Source organism: Homo sapiens, chromosome 19 (assembly GCF_000001405.40).
Source record: "Homo sapiens chromosome 19, GRCh38.p14 Primary Assembly".
NCBI lineage: Eukaryota > Metazoa > Chordata > Mammalia > Primates > Hominidae > Homo > Homo sapiens.
This window is the reverse complement of record NC_000019.10, coordinates 51609770-51630839: the sequence shown is the minus strand read 5'-3', so window position 1 is coordinate 51630839 and position 21070 is coordinate 51609770. Positions and strand designations below refer to the sequence as shown.

Genomic DNA, 21070 nt, shown 5'->3' with positions numbered 1-21070 from the left:
AAGTGCTGGGATTACAGGCATGAGCTACCATGCCTGGTCACTTTGAACATTTAAAATCAAATTTAAAATTATGTATTTCCAGAATGTTTCATGGTTTTTAGGTGGAGGGTGGTTCTGACATCTCACCTCATCACCAGGACAAGCCCTTGTTTCTCTTTTCTTTCTGCATTCAGCCCCCTGAGGATCTCACTCATGACTGAAACATCATTTGAGGGGTGATCACCTCCAGATCCTCAGCTGGACAAGCCTCACATCGTCTGGGGGCCTCAGTATCTTCACCTGCGGCGTCCAGTCGGGGTGGGAGCAGAATGGCTTCCCAGCCCCCGCCTCACCCCAACAGCACGTGATGCCCAAGTTCCCCTTCTGTGCGCGTCCACAGCTCTCACTCACCCTCCGGCTTCCTGTCGGGGCTTTCTCAGCCCCACCCCACGTTTGGACATTTGGAGCATTTCCTTCCCTGACAGCCGGACCTGGGACTGGGCTGGGGCCCTGGCGGATGGAGACATGCTGCCCCTGCTGCTGCTGCCCCTGCTGTGGGGGGGTGAGTGAGCTGAGGGAGGAGGGACAGGCACAGGGGTGAGAAGGGGGGCTGGAGCTGCAGCTGAGCTTCTGTGTCCCCCCAGGGTCCCTGCAGGAGAAGCCAGTGTACGAGCTGCAAGTGCAGAAGTCGGTGACGGTGCAGGAGGGCCTGTGCGTCCTTGTGCCCTGCTCCTTCTCTTACCCCTGGAGATCCTGGTATTCCTCTCCCCCACTCTACGTCTACTGGTTCCGGGACGGGGAGATCCCATACTACGCTGAGGTTGTGGCCACAAACAACCCAGACAGAAGAGTGAAGCCAGAGACCCAGGGCCGATTCCGCCTCCTTGGGGATGTCCAGAAGAAGAACTGCTCCCTGAGCATCGGAGATGCCAGAATGGAGGACACGGGAAGCTATTTCTTCCGCGTGGAGAGAGGAAGGGATGTAAAATATAGCTACCAACAGAATAAGCTGAACTTGGAGGTGACAGGTATGGCAGGGACCCCAGGAGAGGACCCTGGGACGTGGAGACCCCCGTATGAGAACAGGGACAGGAGTTGGGCAGGGGCGGCTGGAGGAGGTGTAGGACTTGGGGCAGGTCGGGGCCTGAGGCCTGGCCACTCTCGGGGTCACACCTTACGTCCTCAAGCCCCTGGGGCCCAGGTATCTCCCTGTCTCCTCCTCAGCCCTGATAGAGAAACCCGACATCCACTTTCTGGAGCCTCTGGAGTCCGGCCGCCCCACAAGGCTGAGCTGCAGCCTTCCAGGATCCTGTGAAGCGGGACCACCTCTCACATTCTCCTGGACGGGGAATGCCCTCAGCCCCCTGGACCCCGAGACCACCCGCTCCTCGGAGCTCACCCTCACCCCCAGGCCCGAGGACCATGGCACCAACCTCACCTGTCAGATGAAACGCCAAGGAGCTCAGGTGACCACGGAGAGAACTGTCCAGCTCAATGTCTCCTGTGAGTGGTGCTGGGGACACAGCTGAGTCCTCAAGGGCAGTGGGAGTGAGGGGTGTGTGTGTGTGTGTGTGTGTGTGTGTGTGTGTAAGGAAGACAGAGAGAAACAAAACAATAACTTGAGAAACCTTGTGTGTGGATCTAAGCCTTGGGATCTGCGGGGAGTGAGACAGGACAGCCTTCCCCGCTTGGTGGGTTTCTGTGGCTCCTCTTTGGGTACCTCCTGGGCCCATGCCCATCTCACTCCTCACTGCTGAAGCCAAGTTTATATCTTTTTATCCCAGATGCTCCACAGACCATCACCATCTTCAGGAACGGCATAGGTAGGAAAGACCTCCTCTCTGAAGCTGGGACCTGCCTCTGGGTCTGTCTCTGAGCAGAGGTAGAGAATCAGAGCTTGAATGCAATCAGATTTGGGAAGAGCAAGAATGAGAATTACTGCCTTCTGGCTTCCACCTTCTGTGAGCCCCATGTGCAGGCACATATGCACACACGCACATACACACGCACACATGCACACACGCACACACACACGCACACACACACATGCATATACACCACACACATACACATGCAATACACCACACACACACGCACATACACACACACATGCACACAGGCACACATGCACACACACCACACACATATGCACACACACACATACACCACACAGGCACATGCACATACACACGCACACATGCACATACACCACACACACATATGCAGATACACCCACACACGCACACATGTACGTACACCCGCACACGCACACACACACGCACACAGGTGCACACTCATGCACTCTGCTCAAAGCAGTGAACAGACTTTAGACCCCACCCATCTCCCATCCCTCCTGTGGTCTGGTTCTTTCCACAGTCACTAAGGACCACTCCATGCCCCTCTCATCTCAGTCAGCCCAGCTCTGTGGTTCTTCTCTCACCCTTCCACTCCTGCATCCTCAGTCTTATTTCCTGTCACATTAGCGGACTGTATTTCCCAACGCCACCGGGGGCTCTCTGTCCTCTCTCCACCACAGTCCAGGCATGTACCAGTGAGATATTGAGCCTCCTCTGGAGACATGAGACTCAGACACTTTTGGTCAGTTTCCTGAGTGTGCAAAGGCCCAGCCTTTGAACCAGGATGCAATCAAGCCAGCATAGGCCAGGGGAGGAGAGGGAGATGTCATCTGGATCCTGGGAAGGAGGGAAGGATAGGGACTGTCAGCCTCCCTGGCCCCATCTCTCTTTCCCCACCCTTCTCTCCCCAAAGCCCTAGAGATCCTGCAAAACACCTCATACCTTCCGGTCCTGGAGGGCCAGGCTCTGCGGCTGCTCTGTGATGCTCCCAGCAACCCCCCTGCACACCTGAGCTGGTTCCAGGGCTCCCCTGCCCTGAACGCCACCCCCATCTCCAATACCGGGATCTTGGAGCTTCGTCGAGTAAGGTCTGCAGAAGAAGGAGGCTTCACCTGCCGCGCTCAGCACCCGCTGGGCTTCCTGCAAATTTTTCTGAATCTCTCAGTTTACTGTGAGTGTGGGGGCAGCTGGAGCAGGAACTGCATGGTATTAAAGAAGGAAGAGGCCCCCTGCTGAGTTCTGTCCTCCCTCCCCACAGCCCTCCCACAGTTGCTGGGCCCCTCCTGCTCCTGGGAGGCTGAGGGTCTGCACTGCAGATGCTCCTTTCGAGCCCGGCCGGCCCCCTCCCTGTGCTGGCGGCTTGAGGAGAAGCCGCTGGAGGGGAACAGCAGCCAGGGCTCATTCAAGGTCAACTCCAGCTCAGCTGGGCCCTGGGCCAACAGCTCCCTGATCCTCCACGGGGGGCTCAGCTCCGACCTCAAAGTCAGCTGCAAGGCCTGGAACATCTATGGGTCCCAGAGCGGCTCTGTCCTGCTGCTGCAAGGTCAGGGGGCGTATTGCAGAGGGCAGGGGCCTGAGGGGAGGGGCATGGATCCCAGAGTGATGGATGGTGGGAGAGAGAGGCTGGACTGGTGGTGGGGAGACAGGGTTCTTCATCTCCTGTCTGAGCAGGGCCCTGGAGCAAGTTGCCCAGCAGGTGGGAGGACAAGAGTCTGAGTCCTGGGAGTGAGTTATTGCACGCCCCTCTTTTCTGCAGGGAGATCGAACCTCGGGACAGGAGTGGTTCCTGCAGCCCTTGGTGGTGCTGGTGTCATGGCCCTGCTCTGTATCTGTCTGTGCCTCATCTTCTTTTTAATGTAAGTCTTGGTCCCAGGGAAGGTACAGGGTGGTGTTTGTAGGGAGTAGGAGAGACTGAATCTCAGAAACACAGAGCTAAGGCCAGAGGTGGTGATGTGTGCTTGTGGTTCCAGATGCTCAGGAGTCTGAGGCAGGAGGATCACTTGATCATGGAGGTTGAGGCTGCAGTGAGCCAGGATTGTGCCAATGCACTCCATCCTGGGCCTCAGAGTGAGAGACCCTGTCTTAAAAGAAAAACAAAACAAAACAAAAAGCAGAACTGAGTAGATCCAGAGAGGTCTTCTTTCTTTTTTTCTTTTCTAATAGCTTTATTGAGATACATGTTTTGTACAATTCATCCACTGAAAGTGTACGAGTCAATGGCTTTAAGTATATTGACAGAGTTATGCATCTGTCACCAAAATCAATTTTAGAACATTTTCATCAGCCTAAAGTGAAAAACGAAGACATAAAGAAACCTTGCACCCCTTAGCTATCACTCCTGCTTCTTTCCCCCAGCCCTAACCTATTCCATGTCTCTGTGGATTTGTCTGTCCTGAAGTTGCAGTTGTACTTTGTGTGAATGGAATCACGCGATATGTGGTCCTTTGTGGCTGGCTTCTTTCACTCGGCCTAATGTTTTCAAGATTCATCTATGTTGTAGCATGCATCGATACTTCATTCCTTTTTGTTTTCAAATAATATTCCATTATATAAATGGAACGCATTTGATTTGTGGGTTCAGCTGTTGACGGGTACTTGGGTTGCCTCTGCTTCTTGGCTATGATGCATAACACTGCTATGACCATTCCTGCCATGGTTTTGTGTGTAAGAGGGGGTCTATATGATGGAAATTCAGTCCATGGCCACCCTGACCAAATCCCTGGTTATCCAGGAGGATGGAGCCCTCACTCCGAAGTCAGGAAGGTCTCCGAGTTTAGTTCCGGGGCCTGGATGGCTTCATTGTCATTTTCACCATCTTAGCATGGGATGGGACAACCCGCTAACCCGTGCCTGGGTGGTCCCAGCTGCACTGTGCTGGTTTCTTTCCTTAGAGTGAAAGCCCGCAGGAAGCAAGCAGCTGGGAGACCAGAGAAAATGGATGATGAAGACCCCATTATGGGTACCATCACCTCGGTGAGTGGTTTGGGGATCTTCTCATGTGCATGTCCACTCGGAAAGTCCAGGCTGAGCTCTTCAGCATTCCACCAAACCCACTCCTCCCTCATCACCTGGGAGTTCTCTTCTCTCCTGTTCTCCCCCTTCATATCCCAGAGCCAGGAAATCATTATGTCCCATTCAACCTTCTTTGTTTTGTTTGTTTGTTTGTTTGTTTTTGAGATGGAGTTTCACTCTTGTTACCCAGGCTGGAGTGCAATGGTGCGATCTTGGCTCACTGCAAACTCCACCTCCCAGGTTCAAGCGATTCTCCTGCCTCAGCCTCCCAAGTAGCTGGGATTACAGGCGCACACCACCATGCCCGGCTAATTTTTGTATTTTTAGTAGAGACGGGATTTTGCCATGTTAGGCAGGCAGTTCTTGAACTCCTGACCTCAGGTGATCCGCCCGCCTCGGCCTCCCAAAGTGCTGGGATTACAGGCGTAAGCCACCGCGCCCGGCCACCAACCTTCTTTCTAAAAGTAAAACTAACTTGTCCTTTGCTCATCTTCCCTCCCCACCTCTACTGACCACAGAGCCTGCCTCACTTCCTCCCTGCCTCCATCTCTCATTCCAAACTTCAGGCTGCCAGAATCATCGCCCCAAAACTATTACTTCCCAGGCAGCCTGGAGTTTCAATGTTGTTGTTGTTTGTTCCTGTTGCTTAGAGAATCAGGCCCATGTTCCTTGCCCCACACCAGGTGGCCACTTCAGCCTGTTTCTGTCCTCTGATCCTGCCCCGTGGCCTGGCCACGCTGGCCTTCTGTCTCCATACGGACCTGCTGTCCTACAACTTTGAGCCCTTGCAAGTATAGTTTCTTCCACCTTTCCTTCCCTGTTTCCACCAGACTACCTCATCTAATCCTTCCAGCTCTAATCTCAGTATCTGCTACTCTAGTCATTTCCCCTCCTGTTGATATCTGCCCCTTCTCTTCTGTGTTTACAGCCCTACATGCATCCCCGTCCCCATCACACATCACCACTGCCTTTACCTGTCTCCACCCACTCATCATATCTGTAGAATTCTTTTTTATTTTTATTTTTTTGGAGACGGAGTCCTGCTCTGTCACCCAGGCTGGAGTGCACTGGCGCAACCTCGGCTCACTGCAACCTCTGCCTCCCAGGCTCAAGCAATTCTCCTGCCTCAGCCTCCCAAGTAGCTGGGATTACAGGCATGCACCACCTGGCTAATTTTTGTATTTTTAGTAGAGACGGGGTTTCACCATGTTGGCCAGGGTGGTCTCGAACTCCTGACCTCAGGTGATCTGCCTGCCTCAGCCTCCCAAAGTGCTGGGATTACAGGTGTGAGCCACCGCGTGCGGCCAATATCTGTGGAATTCTTGAAGGACAGGGGCTGGGGCTTCTTTAGCCCCTGCAGTTTTCTCTCCTGCTGTTTCTGTCCAGCGTGTCTCCTCTCCTCTTTTATAAAATTGATCTAGTGTTGCCCCGAACGAATTGTCCAAAATGCTTAGTTCATGACCAAGCTGTCATGACTGGAACAAGCATCATTTACTTTTACTTTTTCACTTTGGTTCATAATATGATAAATAACTGCAAACCCACCATCCAACCTAAGACCTAACACATTGGTGATAACTTGTATCCACCTGTGTTGCTCCCTGATCCATTCCCAGTAACCACTGTTGTGAATCTTGTCTTCCTAGTGTTGTCACATATATGTAGGCTTATGCCACTATTTAGTTTTAATTGTTTATGAATCTACAGAGGGTATCATGTTCCACGCACACTTCTTGGACTTGCTTTGTAGACTCAACATTGTATTATGATTCATTCATGTTGTATAAAGTTGCAGTTGTATTCATTTTTCCTGCTTATAATATATATATTTTTTGAGACAGGGTCTGACTCCATTGCCCAGGTTGGAGTGCAGTGGTGCGATCTCGGCTCATTGCAACCTCCACCTCCCGGGTTCAAGCAACTCTCCTGCCTCAGCTTCCTGAGTAGCTGGGATTACAGGCATGTACCACCACGCAAGGCTCATTTTTGCATTTTTAGTAGCGATGGGGTTTCACCATGTTGGCCAGTCTGGTCTTGATCCACCCACCTTGACCTCCCAAAGTGCTGGGATTATAGGTGTGACGGCTTATAATATTATATTTTATGATTGTGTCTATCACCTAAGCTCATATTGATGCACACTTGAGTTGTTTCCATTTGAGCCGTTCTGAACATTCTTATCCTTGTCTCACCGTACTAACACACACGAGCTTTCCTTTAGCATCACCTAAAGATTGAGTTGCCGCATCGCTGGGCATGTGAATGGGCATCTTTACAAGGTCATGAAAAATGGCTTTCCAAAGCAATTATATCCATTTATACTCTCATCTATGCCTAGGAAATCTTGTTGTTCTGTAATCTCTCCAACTTGCTTTTCTCAGTTTTGGAGGCTATTTTACTATCTCACTATGGTATTGATTTGCATTTCCTCGGTTACCAGTGAAGATGAAAAATCTCTCTCTGCTTTCATCTTCTATAAAACACCTGGTCACATCTGGATCCCATTTTCCTATTGGGTGTTTGACTTTTTCTTAATGAATTTGTTGGAGGGCTTTATACATTTTTACACTATTTTTCTCATTGTATGTGTTGTAAATATAAATATCTTCTCCCAATGCGTAGCTTGTCTTCACTTCTTAAAGTGATCTTCAATGAACATAAGTTCCTAGTTGTAATATAATCATATTCACAAATCCTCTCTTTTCTATTGAGTACCTTTTGGATCTCATTAAAAAAAATTTCACCCATCCTAAGATTAGAAAGATATTCAAATATAGTTTCTACTAAAAGTTTTATGCTTTTATTTTTAATTTTGTGGGTACATATTAGATGTATATATTTATGGGGTACATGAACTGTTTCAATAGAGGCATGCAGTGTGAAATAAACACTTCATGAAGAATTGGGTACCCAGCCCCTCAAGCATTGATCCGTTGAGTTGCAAACAATCCAGAAGCAACCTAAGTGTCCATCAATAGATGAATGGATAAAGAAAATGTTGTGCATATACACAATGGAGTACTATTCAGCCATAAAAAAGAATGAGATCCAGTCATTTGCAACAACATGGATGGAACTGGAGATCATTATGTTAAGTGAAATAAGGCAGGCACAGAAAGACAAACATTGCATGTTCTCACATATTTGTGGGATCTAAGAATAAAAAAAAATTGAACTGATGGACATAGAGAGTATGCTTTTCTTTTGACATTTAAGTACTCACTCTGTCTGGGGTTGACTTTTGTGTATGGTGTATAGTGTTGATCCATATATGTTTCTCCTTCATTTCTGAATAGTCCTTCTCCCTTCTCCATTGAGCAACATGCCAATTCTGCCATGTATTAAAATTCTATATATTTGTCGGTCTCTTTCTGTGGTCTCTATTCTACTCCAATAGTCAATTTTACTGTCCCTGAGTCATCACTGTCTATAAATTCAAAAATAAGTCCTGATATAGAGTACAGCAAAACCTCTTCCTTAATCTCCTTCAATAGTATCTTGACCATTCTTGGTCCTTTTTTTTTTTCACTTTAATGTTAGAATCAGGTTGTCAAGGCCGGGCGCGGTGGCTCACGCCTGTAATCCCAGCACTTTGGGAGGCCGAGGTGGGTGGATCACGAGGTCAGGAGATCGAGACCATCCTGGCTCACACGGTGAAACCCCGTCTTTACTAAAAATACAAAAAAAAAAAAAATTAGCCAGGCGTGGTGGTGGGCACCTGTAGTCCCAGCTACTCGGGAGGCTGAGGCAGGAGAATGGCGTGAACCTGGGAGGCAGAGCTTGCAGTGAGCGGAGATCGCGCCAGTGCACTCCAGCCTGGGTGACAGAACACGACTCCGTCTCAAAACAAAACAAAACAAAAAACAAAAAAGCAAAACAAAACAAAACAAAAAAGAATCAGGTTGTCAAATTCCAAAAAATACATTGAATCTATAGCTCAATGTGGAAAAAATTTACTTGTTTAGAAATTCATGCCTTCTTATCCATGACAGTAGGTCTTTCTCTCTCTATTCCTTTAAATATTTTTAAGTGTTTTAAAGAGATAATGTAGAGTTTCTTCACACAGGTCTTACACATCTTTTGTTATTTTTCTTCCTAAATACCAGTTTTTGTTGCTATTGTAAATGCTATCTTTTTAAAAGTGCATTTTCTGATTCCTTATCAGAATGCAGAATGAAAGTATTTAAAAAATATAAGAGGGTTTTTTTTTGTAATTAAAAAAAATCACAAGTTGGTCTTGCATGTGTCCTTTAGCATCTTCTTGCTTTGGTAGCTGGAGAATTCTTAGATCTTATTTATAAGCCTGCTGATCTCTTCTTTTTCAGAAATATAGATACCATCTGAAAAATTAGTGATATTCCTATTTTTAACTGTCATGGCTTGCTGAATCAAAGCAGCTGGGTTTGATGCAAGTGTAATGCTATTTTCTTAAAGAATCAACTCATCCTTTTGGGCTTCAGGTACTGAGCAAGAAATGCCTGTCCTCATGTATACTCTGCAGATGTATTTCTCTTCTAACAGATGTCAGATTTCAACAAATGACCCACTGTCCTGAATAATCACTTTTTTTGAGGAAGTGAGGACACGCAAACCTAACCTCATCTGGCAACGGAAGTCTGTGTAACACCTCAGACTGTGGGCAGTTTGTGACTATGGATGGTTTGAAGAATAGCCAGTTACCTTTCATTTCCCCACCATTTGGCAACACAGAACTTCTCCTTTTTCTTTCCTATATTGATGGGGTTGAATTTCTCAGCTGGGTTCCTTGAGGGGATTCACTATAACTGTGCATCTCTTCATAGTGACACCCATCTCCTCTGGGATGTCAGCTCTCTGGATTTAGAGAATTGTCATAATTCTCTCAGTAAATGCAGCAAGTAAAACTCATTTTTAATTGATTTCATTTCCTTCCAACTTGCCAAGCTCCCTTATTAGTTCAAATAACTAGTATATAGAAATTGAAGTATTTTAAATAAATTTTTTTCAATTAAAACAAAATCACAAATTAGGCCAGGTTTGGTGGCTCATGCCTGTAATCCCAGAACTTTGGGAGGCTGAGGCAGGAGGATCTCTTGAGGCCAGGAGTTCAAGGCCAGGGGATAACACAGTGAGCCCTCCATCTCTACAAAAAGAAAAAAAATCACACATTGATCTTGGGTATTATTTAGAATGTTTTGGGATTTCAAATTAGATGATTATATCATCTGCAAAATAATAACAGTTTATTTCTTCCCTTTGTCCTAAGCACTTCTTTCCTTTTTCTTGTTTCAATATGCTGGGTGAGATTATGGTCAAAGTTGAGTAGACATAGTGACCATGGGCATCTTTTGCTACTGCTGATTTTGAAGGAAATGCACCCAATATCCTGCCACTTGGTTCTGTGAACTTTCATCAGGTTAAGGAAGTTCCTTTCTATCACTAAATAAGTTTTTATCCTAAACTTCTGTTGTATTTTTTGAATGCATCTACTGATAGGATTTTTTCCTACTTAATCTGTTACCATGGGGAATGACAATTAAAGATTTTTCTGGTATGAAACTACTCCTGCATTCCTGGGAGAAAACCATATTATTCATAGCATTTTTTTAATACTCCAGTAGGTTGTTTGATCATCTTTTGCTCAGCACTTTTGCGTCTATATGCATGGTCAAATACACTTGTCATTTTCCTTTTTCCTCCTGTTTCTTCTGTTTGGGTATCAAGATAAGATTGAGAAATTGGGGACTAGTCTCTCTTTTTCTACTGTCTGGAAGAGTGTGTATAAAACTGAAATGACTTGTTTCCTGAATGATTGATAGATGTCACTTATCAAACTACCTGGGCCTGGTGGCGTCACTATGTGCAATTTTCCTAATTTAATCATTTTATGTATTCTTCAGCGAGCTTTATTCTAGGGACGTGTTCCTTTCACCTAAGTTATATATATATATATATTTTGACAAAAGGATATGGGTGGCATTCTTTTGTCTTTATATTATTTGTTTTTGTCGAGATTACTTCCCCTTTTAGAAATATTCCTGACATTGGTTATTTGTGACTTCTTTCTTTTTTTCTAGCTAAATCTTGTTAATTGCTTTCCCTATTTTATTATCAGTTTCAAGGAACCAACTTTTGGGATTGTAGAATTTTCTCACTGTATCTTTGTTTTCTGTTTTATTGATTTTTACTCTCATTTTCTCAGCACCTTCCTTCTACTTGTTTTGGTTTATTCTGATGATCTTTGATAAATTTTTAAGCTGGATACTTAGCTTCTTAGTGTCTATATTTTCATTCTCTATAAAACGTAGTTAGGGATAAATTTCTCTCAGAATTTCATTTTCATCCCATTGCACAAATTTTGATATGTATTATTTGAATAACATTCAGTTGTGGATATTGTTAAAACAACATTGTGATTTCTTCTTTGAATCTTAAATTATTTGGGATTAAAAATTCCAAAGGTATGAAGATTTTAAACATCTTTCATAATTAAATTCTAAGTAGATGCTTTTTGGTCAGAATACATGGTTTTATGATATCTACTTTTAAAATTTGTTGAGACTTGATCTGTGGCCTGTATACAATGAATTTTTGTAAATGTTTCCCTGTGTGCTTAAGAATAATGTATGTTTTTAGCCGGGTGCGGTGGCTCATACCTGTAATCCCAGCACTTTGGGAGGCCGAGGTGGGCAGATCACAAGGTCAGGAGTTCAAGACCAGCCTGGCCAATATGGTGAAACCCCGTCTCTACTAAAAATATAAAAATTACCTGGGCATGCTGGATGGTGGCAGGCACCTGTAGTCCCAGCTACTCAGGAGGCTGAGGCAGGAGAATCGTATGAACCCAGGAGGTGGAGGTTGCAGTGAGCCAAGATCGTGCCACTGCACTCCAGCCTGGGCAACAATGTATATTTTTTATTTCTTAAATTAACAGTCCAGTGTGTTAATTGTAATGTTCAAATCCAAATCTTCAGATGTCAACAGATCTTCCCAACATGTCAATACTTGAGAGAGGTGTGTTGAAATCTTACATTATGATAATGTATTTGTCAATTTCTTACTGTAATTCTAACAATTGTGTTTCTTATATTTGATGTACTTTTAAATTAAAACCATATATTTTAGAAAAGCATTATATCTTCTCAGTGAACTGAACATTTTATCAAACATAGTAATTCTTTCTCTTCATAGTGGTGCTTTTTTTTTTTTTTTTTTTTTTTTGGAGACAGAGTCTCACTCTGTCACCCAGGCGGCAGTGCAGTGGCACGATCTCGGCTCACTGCAACTTCCACCTCCTGGGTTCAAGCAATTCTCCTGCTTCAGCCTCCTGAGTAGCTGGGATTACAGGTGCCCGCCACCATGCCCAGGTAATTTTTGTATTTTTAGTGGAGACAGGGTTTTATCATGTTGACCGGGCTGGTCTTGAACTCCTGGGCTCAAGTGATCTGCCCACCTCGTCCTCCCAAAGTGCTGGGATTACAGGTGTGAGCCACTGTGCCCGGCTCATAATGATGCTTTTTGCTTTAAAGTCTGTTCGACTGGATGTTTTTTTTTTTTTTTTTTTTTTTTTAGGCAGGGTCTCACTCACTCATGCGGGCTGGAATGAAGCGGCATGTGGATCTTAATATAGCTACTCTAGTTTCTTATTGATTAGTTAGATGCCTGATACTTTTTCATTTTCTCCCATCCTCCCAACATTTTATGTATTTATGCTCTACCAGTGATTTTTGTAAACAGTATATAACCAGGTTTTAAAAAATCCAATTTGACATCCCTTGTTGAGTTTACTCTGCTGGTATTTATTATGGTTACTGACATATGTGGATTTCTTTCTACTATTTTACCTTTTACTTTCACTTAGTCCCACTTTTTCAATATTTCATTTTTCTCCTTTCTTACTTAGAAGCTTAATATCTTGCCGGGCACAGTGATGCATACCTGTAATTCCAGCTACTTGGGAGGGTGAGGTAGGAGCATCGCTTGAGCCCAGGACTTTGAATCTAGTATGAGCAACATAGCAAGACTCTCGCCTCAAAAAAAAATTAATATCTCTGTCTTACATCTAACAAAAAGAATTTTGGTGCGCTTTTATATCTCTTGGCCTCTCTTCCTTCAACTCTTTACAATGTTGATATTTTCTACAAATGTGCAGTTTTTGTTCTGTGTTATTATGAACATACTTAGCATTTTTCTATTATTTGATTTTTTAAAAAATATACAGCTACACATTTTGTTGAGGTATTTTGTCACCTTTCTATTCCATACTTATCACAGATTTTCTGTTCTTCTTTCTCTTTCTCTCTTTTTATTTGAATTCTTCCCCCCAGTGGGTTTTCAGTTTGGGTTCCTCAAGGCTTCTGAAGACTTATATGCCTGGAAATATATTTTATCCCCTTACATTTTAATTTTATTTGGCAGGATATACATTCTAAAATTAAAGTGATTTTCCTTTGGTGCTTTAAACTCCACCCCACTGTTTCTTGCATTTAGTATTGCTGTTAAGACATCTTACGTCATTCTTAATCTCACATATTTGTAGGTAATCCACTCATTTTCCCTGGAAACTTTTATAATTTTCTCTTTGGTTCTGATATTCTTAAGATCCACTGTCCTGTGTCTAGGCATGGGATTCCCTGCATCTTTTTTCTTGCACTCGTGGGGCCCTTTCAGCTGAGGTGTTTCATCTTCTTTAACTCTGGAAATTTTGTTTCCACTATTTTTTTCAAATATTTTTCCTTTTCTACTTTTTTTTTTTTTTTAAGGTGGAGTCTTGCTCTGTCGCCCAGGCTGGAGTGCAGTGGCGCGATCTCCTCTCACTGCAAGCTCCGCCTCCCGGGTTCACGCCATTCTCCTGCCTCAGCCCTCCGAGTAGTTGGGACTACAGGCGCCCGCCACCATGCCCGGCTAATTTTTTGTATTTTTAGTAGAGACGGGGTTTCACCGTCTTAGCCAGGATGGTCTTGATCTCCTGACCTTGTGATCCGCCAGCCTCGGCCTCCCAAAGTACTGGCATGAGCCACCACACCCGGCCTATTTCTTTTTTATCTTATTTGAAAACTATTATTATCTAAATGTTCAAGTGTTTTTTTTTTTTGTTTTTTTTTTTTGACAGTCTCACTCTGTTGCCCAGGCTGGAGTGCAGTGGCACAATCTCGGCTCACTGCAATCTCTGCCTCCTGGGTTCAAGTGAATCTTGTGCCTCAGCCTCCCGAGTAGCTGGGATTACAGGTGCACATCATCACGCCTGGCTAATTTTTGTATTTTTTTAGAGACAGGATTTTGCCATGTCGGCCAAGCTGATCTTGAACTCCTGACCTCAAGTGATCTGCCTGCCTTGGCCTTCCAAAGTGCTAGGATTACAGGCATGAGCCACCACGCCTGGCCAGTTTTCTATTTCTATCTTCCATCTATCTTAACCTTTTTCTCATATGTTCTAGTCTTCATCCTTCCCTACTTCCTTTTAGGGGATACTTCTGACGGCCCTTCTAGCTCACTAATTTGCCCTCAATTATAGTCATTCTATTCTCCATCCCATCCATTGGGCTCTTCCTATGATATTTTTCAGATATTTCCACATGGCCCTTTTTGCATCAAGTACACAATTACATAATTCCTTATTATGTTTCACATTCATTTTGCATGCACACTTTGTTATTGACAAAGTTTCTTATGCTTGTTTTCATGCTGCTAATATTGCCACATCTTTTTAGTGCATGTAATATGCTCAGTTTAGCTTCTTGACCAAAGCGTCCTAGTACTTGTGCTTCTAGTGGTCTATCAGGTTCTGTTGGTTTGCTTTTCTTCAAAGGTGCCCAGCCTTCTGAGCTGTGAGCTCACATTCCCCTGGGGTTATTGGCTACTCTGGCAGTGTTTCTTGAATGAGGGAAGGGCAGATGCTGGCCTGTGTCAGGCTTACTGAGCCAAAGAAATGACAGGGACGCCGGGCACGGTGGCTCACGCCTATAATCCCAGCACTTTGGGAGGCCGAGGTGGGCAGATCACCTGAGGTCGGGAGTTTGAGGCCAGCCCAACCAACATGGAGAAACTCCGTCTCTACTAAAAATACAAAATTAGCCAGGTGTGGTGGCACATGCCTGTAATCCCAGCTACTCGGGAGGCTGAGGCAGGGGAATCTCTTGAACCTGGGAGGTGGAGGTTGCAGTGAGCCGAGATCATGCCATTGCACTCCAGCCTGGGCAACAACAGTGAAGCATCGTCTCAAAAAAAGAGAAATGACTGGGACAAGCCCCAGGGTGGATCCCCTCAAGAACCCAAACCACACCCAACCAGTCCCACTTCCTATCACCCCAGTAAGGCAGCTTAAGTCATCCCTCCATCTTCAGACCCTCGTGGAGAAGCAACATTGGTCAAGGACTCTCGTTGCATTGTGATCCACCAGCCCTGGGAGTTTGGAGTGGAGAAAATGGCAAGGAGAATGTCAAAGACCAGTGAGCTTCCACCTCCGTTCTCCTTCTCCTCACCCCAGTGGGCCTCTGGTGCTTACCCAACACATGCCTGTTGGACACTGGCACATCATAATCCTGTCCATACTCTGAATTCTGCAGTGAGGGGCAGACAATGTTTGTCCCACTGGAAGGGTAGAGGAGAGAAAGGAGCAGAATTCAAGTATGTTTGGGCTAACCCATCCTCTCAACAAGCCAGCTGTCCCCCCGCCCAGTTCTCCCACCCCTTTTCTTCAAATGAGCCTTAACTTTCCCCTAGGGATATCAGTGTGATTGATTGATCATAAATTGATTTGTAAAGTTTTGTTCACCCAGGAGCTCCATCTTTAGTTCCATCATTGGTAGGTCTTGGAGAACAGAGCCGGTGTATGAATTCACTCTTTTGACAAGAACTATGGTAGAGAGAGCTTTGTTTTCTCCTTTATTTTACCTTTAACCATTCTGCACACTTTCATGCCATAGGCAGAATGGTAAAGCGAGGCACAGCATGGTCCCTGGAGTTTGACGTCCTGCATTCAGGTTCTAGATTCACCCACTTGCAAGCTGTGTGACCTTGGATAAGCTAATGAACCTCTCTGTTTTTTTGTTTTCTCCTATAGAAATTGGGTTATTAATATGCTAGTATCTGTCTCGGATTGTTACAAGGAGTGCTTAGTAAAGTGGCAAGCTCACAGGGAGCTCACTTATAACTGTTACCCAGTATTACTTTTCCTTCTGTCTAACAAGGAACTGCATGACGGGGAGGTATTTGGGTGGTTTCAGTCTGCTTTATGTCCTCATTTATACGAACGGCATCTAGCCCAAAGAAAGCACTCAGCAAAGAGCTATTGAGTGAAAGGGTGAACATACTGCATTGTCCTATTTACTAATCTGAGCTGTGCCTTTTCTTTCAGTTGTCAATTTCACCCTTTTTATTTCATATACCGCACACCTATTGATAGACATATGTCTTTATTTCTTCCTTTGCCTGCATAATGCTGGTGTGCATAGCCACTTTTTCATTTTATTTCATCTTTCTTGTGCCTAATATAAGCAGCTCTCTCCAGAAAGTCTATTTTTTTCTGACACAATGAAGCCATTTTTCCCTAACTGCGGAGTCCTTTTAAAAAAACTGTATGGCCAGGTGTGGTGGCTCACACCTGTAATCCCACCACTCTGGAAGGCTAAGCTGGGCCAGTCGCTTAGCCCAGGAGTTTGAGACCAACCTGGGTAACGTGGCGAAACCCTGTCTTTACAAAAATTAGCTGGGCATGGTGGCTTGTGCCTGTGGTCTCAGCTACTCAGGAAGCTGAGGTGGGAGGATTGCTTGAGCCAGGGACGGGAGGTTGCAGTGAGACGAAATCACACCACTGCCCTCCAGCCTGGATGACAGAGTGAAACTCTGTCTCAAAAAGAAAACTTCTGAGCTACTGTTTGAAGACTCACGTTGCTTTCAACATATTTTCCATAGCGTGATGGGTAGGGATATGGGTGAAGGTGGGAGAGGAAAGAAATTGCTTACTTGTATCTGGTTACCATCTTTGCTGGGGACAGGATCTGCTCCATTTTGTTTCTCTTTCATGGAAACTGGGTCCAGGATCAGAATTGCCATCTCTTTTCTGGTTTGCACATAAGACACCTTGTAACCTATGCCGAAGGTATACATTTGCTTCATCAATAATCCGCTCCTCCTGCCTAGGTCAGGGTCTATGTCTGATTTCTCACACTGTACGTGCCCAGAACCTGAAACAGGGGAGACAGGGCTGAGTTCGAATCCTGGCCTCGCCATGTATTAGATGAATAACCCTGGGCAAGCTACTTAACCTCTCTCCACCTCAGTTTCCCTGTGTGTAAGGTGGGGATAATTAGAATATCTTTTATACTGTTGTGGGTTTTTTTTTGGTGATGATTCAATGTGATTAGTAAGTCCTCAATATGGTCTGATCAATCATAGTATTACAAAATTTTGAAAGAATGAGCGAATAGTTGAGTTCACAGGAAATGTATATGGACAGGTGGGGCCGGGATTTGAACCCAGCCCTGTCTGCCCTGTGCCGGTTCCTGGGCACGTACAGTGTGAGAAATCAGACATAGACCCTGACCTAGGCAGCCTATGGCCTGTCCTTAGGAGGAGTGGATTATAAAAGGATGAATTGATAAATGTCACATCAGCCCAACTTCCCTGTGGGAACCATTTGTTGTATTTTTCTCTTATTTGGTGTTGAGGTCTCTCTTTGGGGAGTGGTCATAAAATCTAGCCCGGCCTTGAATGGGAACCCCAGAGATCTGGCCATCATGTTCACAGTGTGACTTTCACAGAATACTCCTTTATCCTGGCACACCACCTGCTGCCTGAGTGCCCAGCCTGTGACCCCCTCTCACAGCAAACTTGTTTATCCTGGCAGATTCCCTTGCAGCTTTCCTATGACCTGTGTCCGGTTTATTCCCACCAAGACAGCTATTCTCTAGGAGAGCCTTGACCAGAAAAGAAGTGAGGTTCAGGTCTGTTGGGCGGGTGGGACACAGAGGAGACAGCACAACAAAACACATGAAATAACAGAAGCAGTTTATTACTCACAGGTCCCAGAGAGAAGATAGCACAGCAAGCCTGGAAGGGCGAATGGAAAGGAGGGAACTGACCAGGACGCAAGTGCTCATCCAGTGGGTAGGGGGCAAGAGAGAGAGAGAGAGAGAGAAGAACCCATGAGCCAAAGCCTTAATTAGAGTCCAGGGCATAATCTAAGCAGGCTTCCCACAGGGAGTTCTAACTGGGGGTTTAGAGCTAGCAGGCAGGAGTTCTGTGGAGCCACACTGTGACTGAGAGGTGGTTGCTGCAGTATATCTGCGCAGCCTATGAGGGACACAGGAGTCAATACGTAAGTCAAGTAGGTTGTAGCTGTATGTCCCATAGGGAGCTGGTCACAAGGAGATGGTTGTATAAGGCAGACATTTGGATTAACCACCTTGGGGAACTGGGAGGAGGTAGAGAATTGGAAATTGTGTCCAGGTGACTAAGCCCTGCTTCTGGCATGAGAAAGTCCAACTTACATTCAAAATAAATCCCAAGGCAACATATAAATATAAGAACTCATTATTCTACACCTGCCTCTTTATTCCTACTGTGACACCTTTCCTTCCCCTTTACTCAGGGTTCCAGGAAGAAGCCCTGGCCAGACAGCCCCGGAGATCAAGCATCTCCTCCTGGGGATGCCCCTCCCTTGGAAGAACAAAAGGAGCTCCATTATGCCTCCCTTAGTTTTTCTGAGATGAAGTCGAGGGAGCCTAAGGACCAGGAGGCCCCAAGCACCACGGAGTACTCGGAGATCAAGACAAGCAAGTGAGGATTTGCCCAGAGTTCAGTCCTGGCTGGAGGAGCCACAGCCTGTCTGGGGGAAAGGACAAGTCAGGGACCACTTGCTGAAGCACGAAGAGCCCTTGTGGCAATGTTAACATTAACTGATGTTTAAGTGCTCCAAGCAGATGGAATTAGAGAGGTGGGCTCAAATCTAGGCCCTGGCACTGTCATCAAGCAATTCACTGCATCCCTCTGTGCCTCAGTTTCCCATTCTGTAAATCAGAGATCATGCATGCTACCTCAAAGGTTGTTGTGAACATTAAAGAAATCAACACATGGAAATCAACCAACATGGGTCCTGGAACAGGGCGTTGTGCTCAGTGCTTTCTGGTCTCTCTTCCTTGAATAGAAAGGTCCTGCTGGCAAGTTCTCTCAAGGCTGGGGATGACCAGGCACAAAAAACAGGGCAGCAATATGTTGGTGTCACTCCCCTTCCCAAAACTCTTCGAAGACTCCCTAGGAAAGACCAGCCCCTCAGCCTGGCACTTGGTTCATGATGTGGGATCTTATATCCTTGCCAGAGTCATATCTTTGCCCACTTTTACCTGCAATCCTTGCATCATATTCCTTTGGCTCCAGTCCTTCATTTATGAGACCCATAGGAATCCTTCCAACAGCCAAAGAGTTGAGTCTAACTCTTTCCTGCCCAAACCCATTCACGGCCCCCTGGCCTTAGACAATATATCACAAGCATCTCCCCTGACACATAAAGTCCTTCATGATCTCCCTGCTATCTATTCATTTATACTTTCCTCTTGCCTAACCCTTCCTTAAGCCTTTCATGCTGGTTCATACCACACTGTCTTTGCAATTTGAGATTCCTCCTCCTGGAAGCCATGCCTCCTTGCTTTCATCTGGCTTACACTATCTTTTCCTCCAAACATGAGTTAATGGGTGGTCTTGAGTTGGAAGAGTGGACTGAAGAAAGAACTTATACTCTCCCTCCTCTAAAATTGAACTAATTTATTTTTTAAAATGCTAAACCAAAAGCAGCTAAAAATTCTCCAGTTACTTATCTAGGGTATCTCCAAACCCAGATAAATGACAATGTTAGAAACTTCAGCAAGTGGTCATGAGGAAATGAGTGGATAATTCCAGTGGAGTACTGGGAGGACATTGATTCTCAATATCTACCACCCAAACTTCATTTTCATCACTGTAAAGAAGGTGAATTGTGACTACTGTTTTGGTTATGACAGGTTAGATAATTTTGATCAAGCCTTGTGTTGAAAATAATAAAATCTTTTGGGGAAAAAATGAGTAGAAAAAGAATCCTTCCCTTAAATAGTATAGAATGCCTGAAAAGAAAATGGAAACTTAGGCCAAAATTCTGGGGAAAGGCTGAACCCAGAGAAGTAAGCAGAATCACTAAGCCAAAATTCCCAGGGGCATTTGCTCATATTGAAAAAGGAAGCTTTGGTTCTTTGGTCTTGCATGTGGCTCTGGAAATGAAGGTTAAGTCTGTGGCCCAGCGAAAGGTTGCAAATGTCAAAAGAGACCATCCCTACATTGGGTTTGTGTCAAGGTAAGGCTGAATCAAAACTGAAGACAAGGAAAAAAATCTGAACAGCTACCAGAGAAAAAGGATCACCTTCAAAAGAAAAGTCATTTAATTGACAACTGAATTATCAGTAGCAACCTGGAGAGTAGAAGAAGGCAAATACTATTTCTAACATCAATTTGCAATCTATACTCAGTAAAGTCAACTCAAAAATGAGAAAGCAATAATGATCTTTCAGAGCAAGTAAATGGGGGAGCTTTAATAAAAACAAAAGATAGTTTAGAATTCCTGACAATCACAATAGTTAAGTACCAAGGTAAGTGTATTTTACATGTCCCAATATCCATATATTATCCAGGAGGAGAGAGAGGTTTTCATTTACTAAAGACTTTGATAGGTTAATAAGGCATGCTGTAAATTTTTCTCATGACGGCTAAAAGAACAGAATCATAATATATAACTTTCAACCTAGTGATCACTAAAGGTATACTATTAAAAACTTAGTAAACCAGCCAGGCGCAGTGGCTCACACCTGTAATCCTAGCACTTCGAGAGGCCGAGGGGTGGAGAATCACTTGAGCCCAGGAGTTCAAGAATAGCCTAGGCAACATGGCAAAACACACCTCTACAAAAAAGTACAAAAAATTTAGCCAGGCATGGTAGCATATGCCTGTAGTCCCAGCTACTTGGGAGGCCGAGACAGGAGGATCACCTGAGCCCGGAAGGTGGAGACTGCAGTAAGCCGAGTGATAGAGTGAGACCTTGTCTCAAAAAACAAACAAAAAGCCAAACAACAACAAAATTACTTAGTAAACAAAACAAACAAACAAAACGGAGAAATAAAGTAATGTAGAATTGGTGACACATACAGAAAACAAAATATAACATGGGATATTTATGTTAAATATAATTGGATAAATGCTTCAGTTTAAAACAGAGTCCACTT

General features: G+C 44.8%; 1 protein-coding gene, 1 long non-coding RNA gene and 1 pseudogene across 4 annotated transcripts, besides 2 other annotated features; 1 reads left to right on the top strand and 2 right to left on the bottom strand.

The window, feature by feature from the left end:
• Window positions 1-438: 438 nt before the first annotated feature.
• SIGLEC5 (sialic acid binding Ig like lectin 5) lies at window positions 439-19880 on the top strand. Of its 3 annotated transcripts, NM_003830.4 has the most exons (9): window positions 439-541; window positions 624-1007; window positions 1204-1482; window positions 1764-1802; window positions 2749-3006; window positions 3094-3378; window positions 3592-3691; window positions 4727-4808; window positions 18418-19880. In NM_003830.4, the coding sequence occupies exons 1-9, from the start codon at window positions 505-507 to the stop codon at window positions 18607-18609; spliced, it is 1656 nt and encodes a 551-aa protein (NP_003821.1). In that variant the 5' UTR covers window positions 439-504; the 3' UTR covers window positions 18610-19880. The 3 variants fall into 3 exon arrangements, with proteins under 3 accessions (NP_003821.1, NP_001371638.1, NP_001371637.1); NM_001384709.1 differs by lacking the exon at window positions 3094-3378; NM_001384708.1 differs by lacking the exon at window positions 4727-4808.
• RPL9P33 (ribosomal protein L9 pseudogene 33) lies at window positions 9139-9698 on the bottom strand (annotated as a pseudogene).
• Window positions 9345-9484: an enhancer, noted in NCBI's record as "active region_15026". NCBI's record gives its function as "activates an Ori minimal core promoter by ATAC-STARR-seq in GM12878 lymphoblastoid cells {active_cell/tissue: GM12878}" and the evidence as "EXISTENCE:reporter gene assay evidence [ECO:0000049][PMID:35858748]".
• Window positions 15024-15173: a silencer, noted in NCBI's record as "silent region_10989". NCBI's record gives its function as "represses an Ori minimal core promoter by ATAC-STARR-seq in GM12878 lymphoblastoid cells {active_cell/tissue: GM12878}" and the evidence as "EXISTENCE:reporter gene assay evidence [ECO:0000049][PMID:35858748]".
• Window positions 15124-17894, bottom strand: LOC124904753 (uncharacterized). Its single transcript, XR_007067313.1, has 3 exons — window positions 17847-17894; window positions 16791-17011; window positions 15124-15416 (listed from the first exon to the last, which is right to left on the bottom strand). It is a non-coding gene; the product is annotated as an uncharacterized LOC124904753 (long non-coding RNA).
• Window positions 19881-21070: the final 1190 nt, after the last annotated feature.

Coding starts and splice junctions, on each gene's coding strand:
- SIGLEC5 (NM_003830.4), top strand. CDS start 505: ATGCTGCCCCTGCTGCTGCTGCCCCTGCTGTGGGGGG. Junction 3,007..3,093: donor TCTGAATCTCTCAGTTTACT/GTGAGTGTGGGG, acceptor CCCTCCCCACAG/CCCTCCCACAGTTGCTGGGC. Junction 3,379..3,591: donor CTCTGTCCTGCTGCTGCAAG/GTCAGGGGGCGT, acceptor TCTTTTCTGCAG/GGAGATCGAACCTCGGGACA.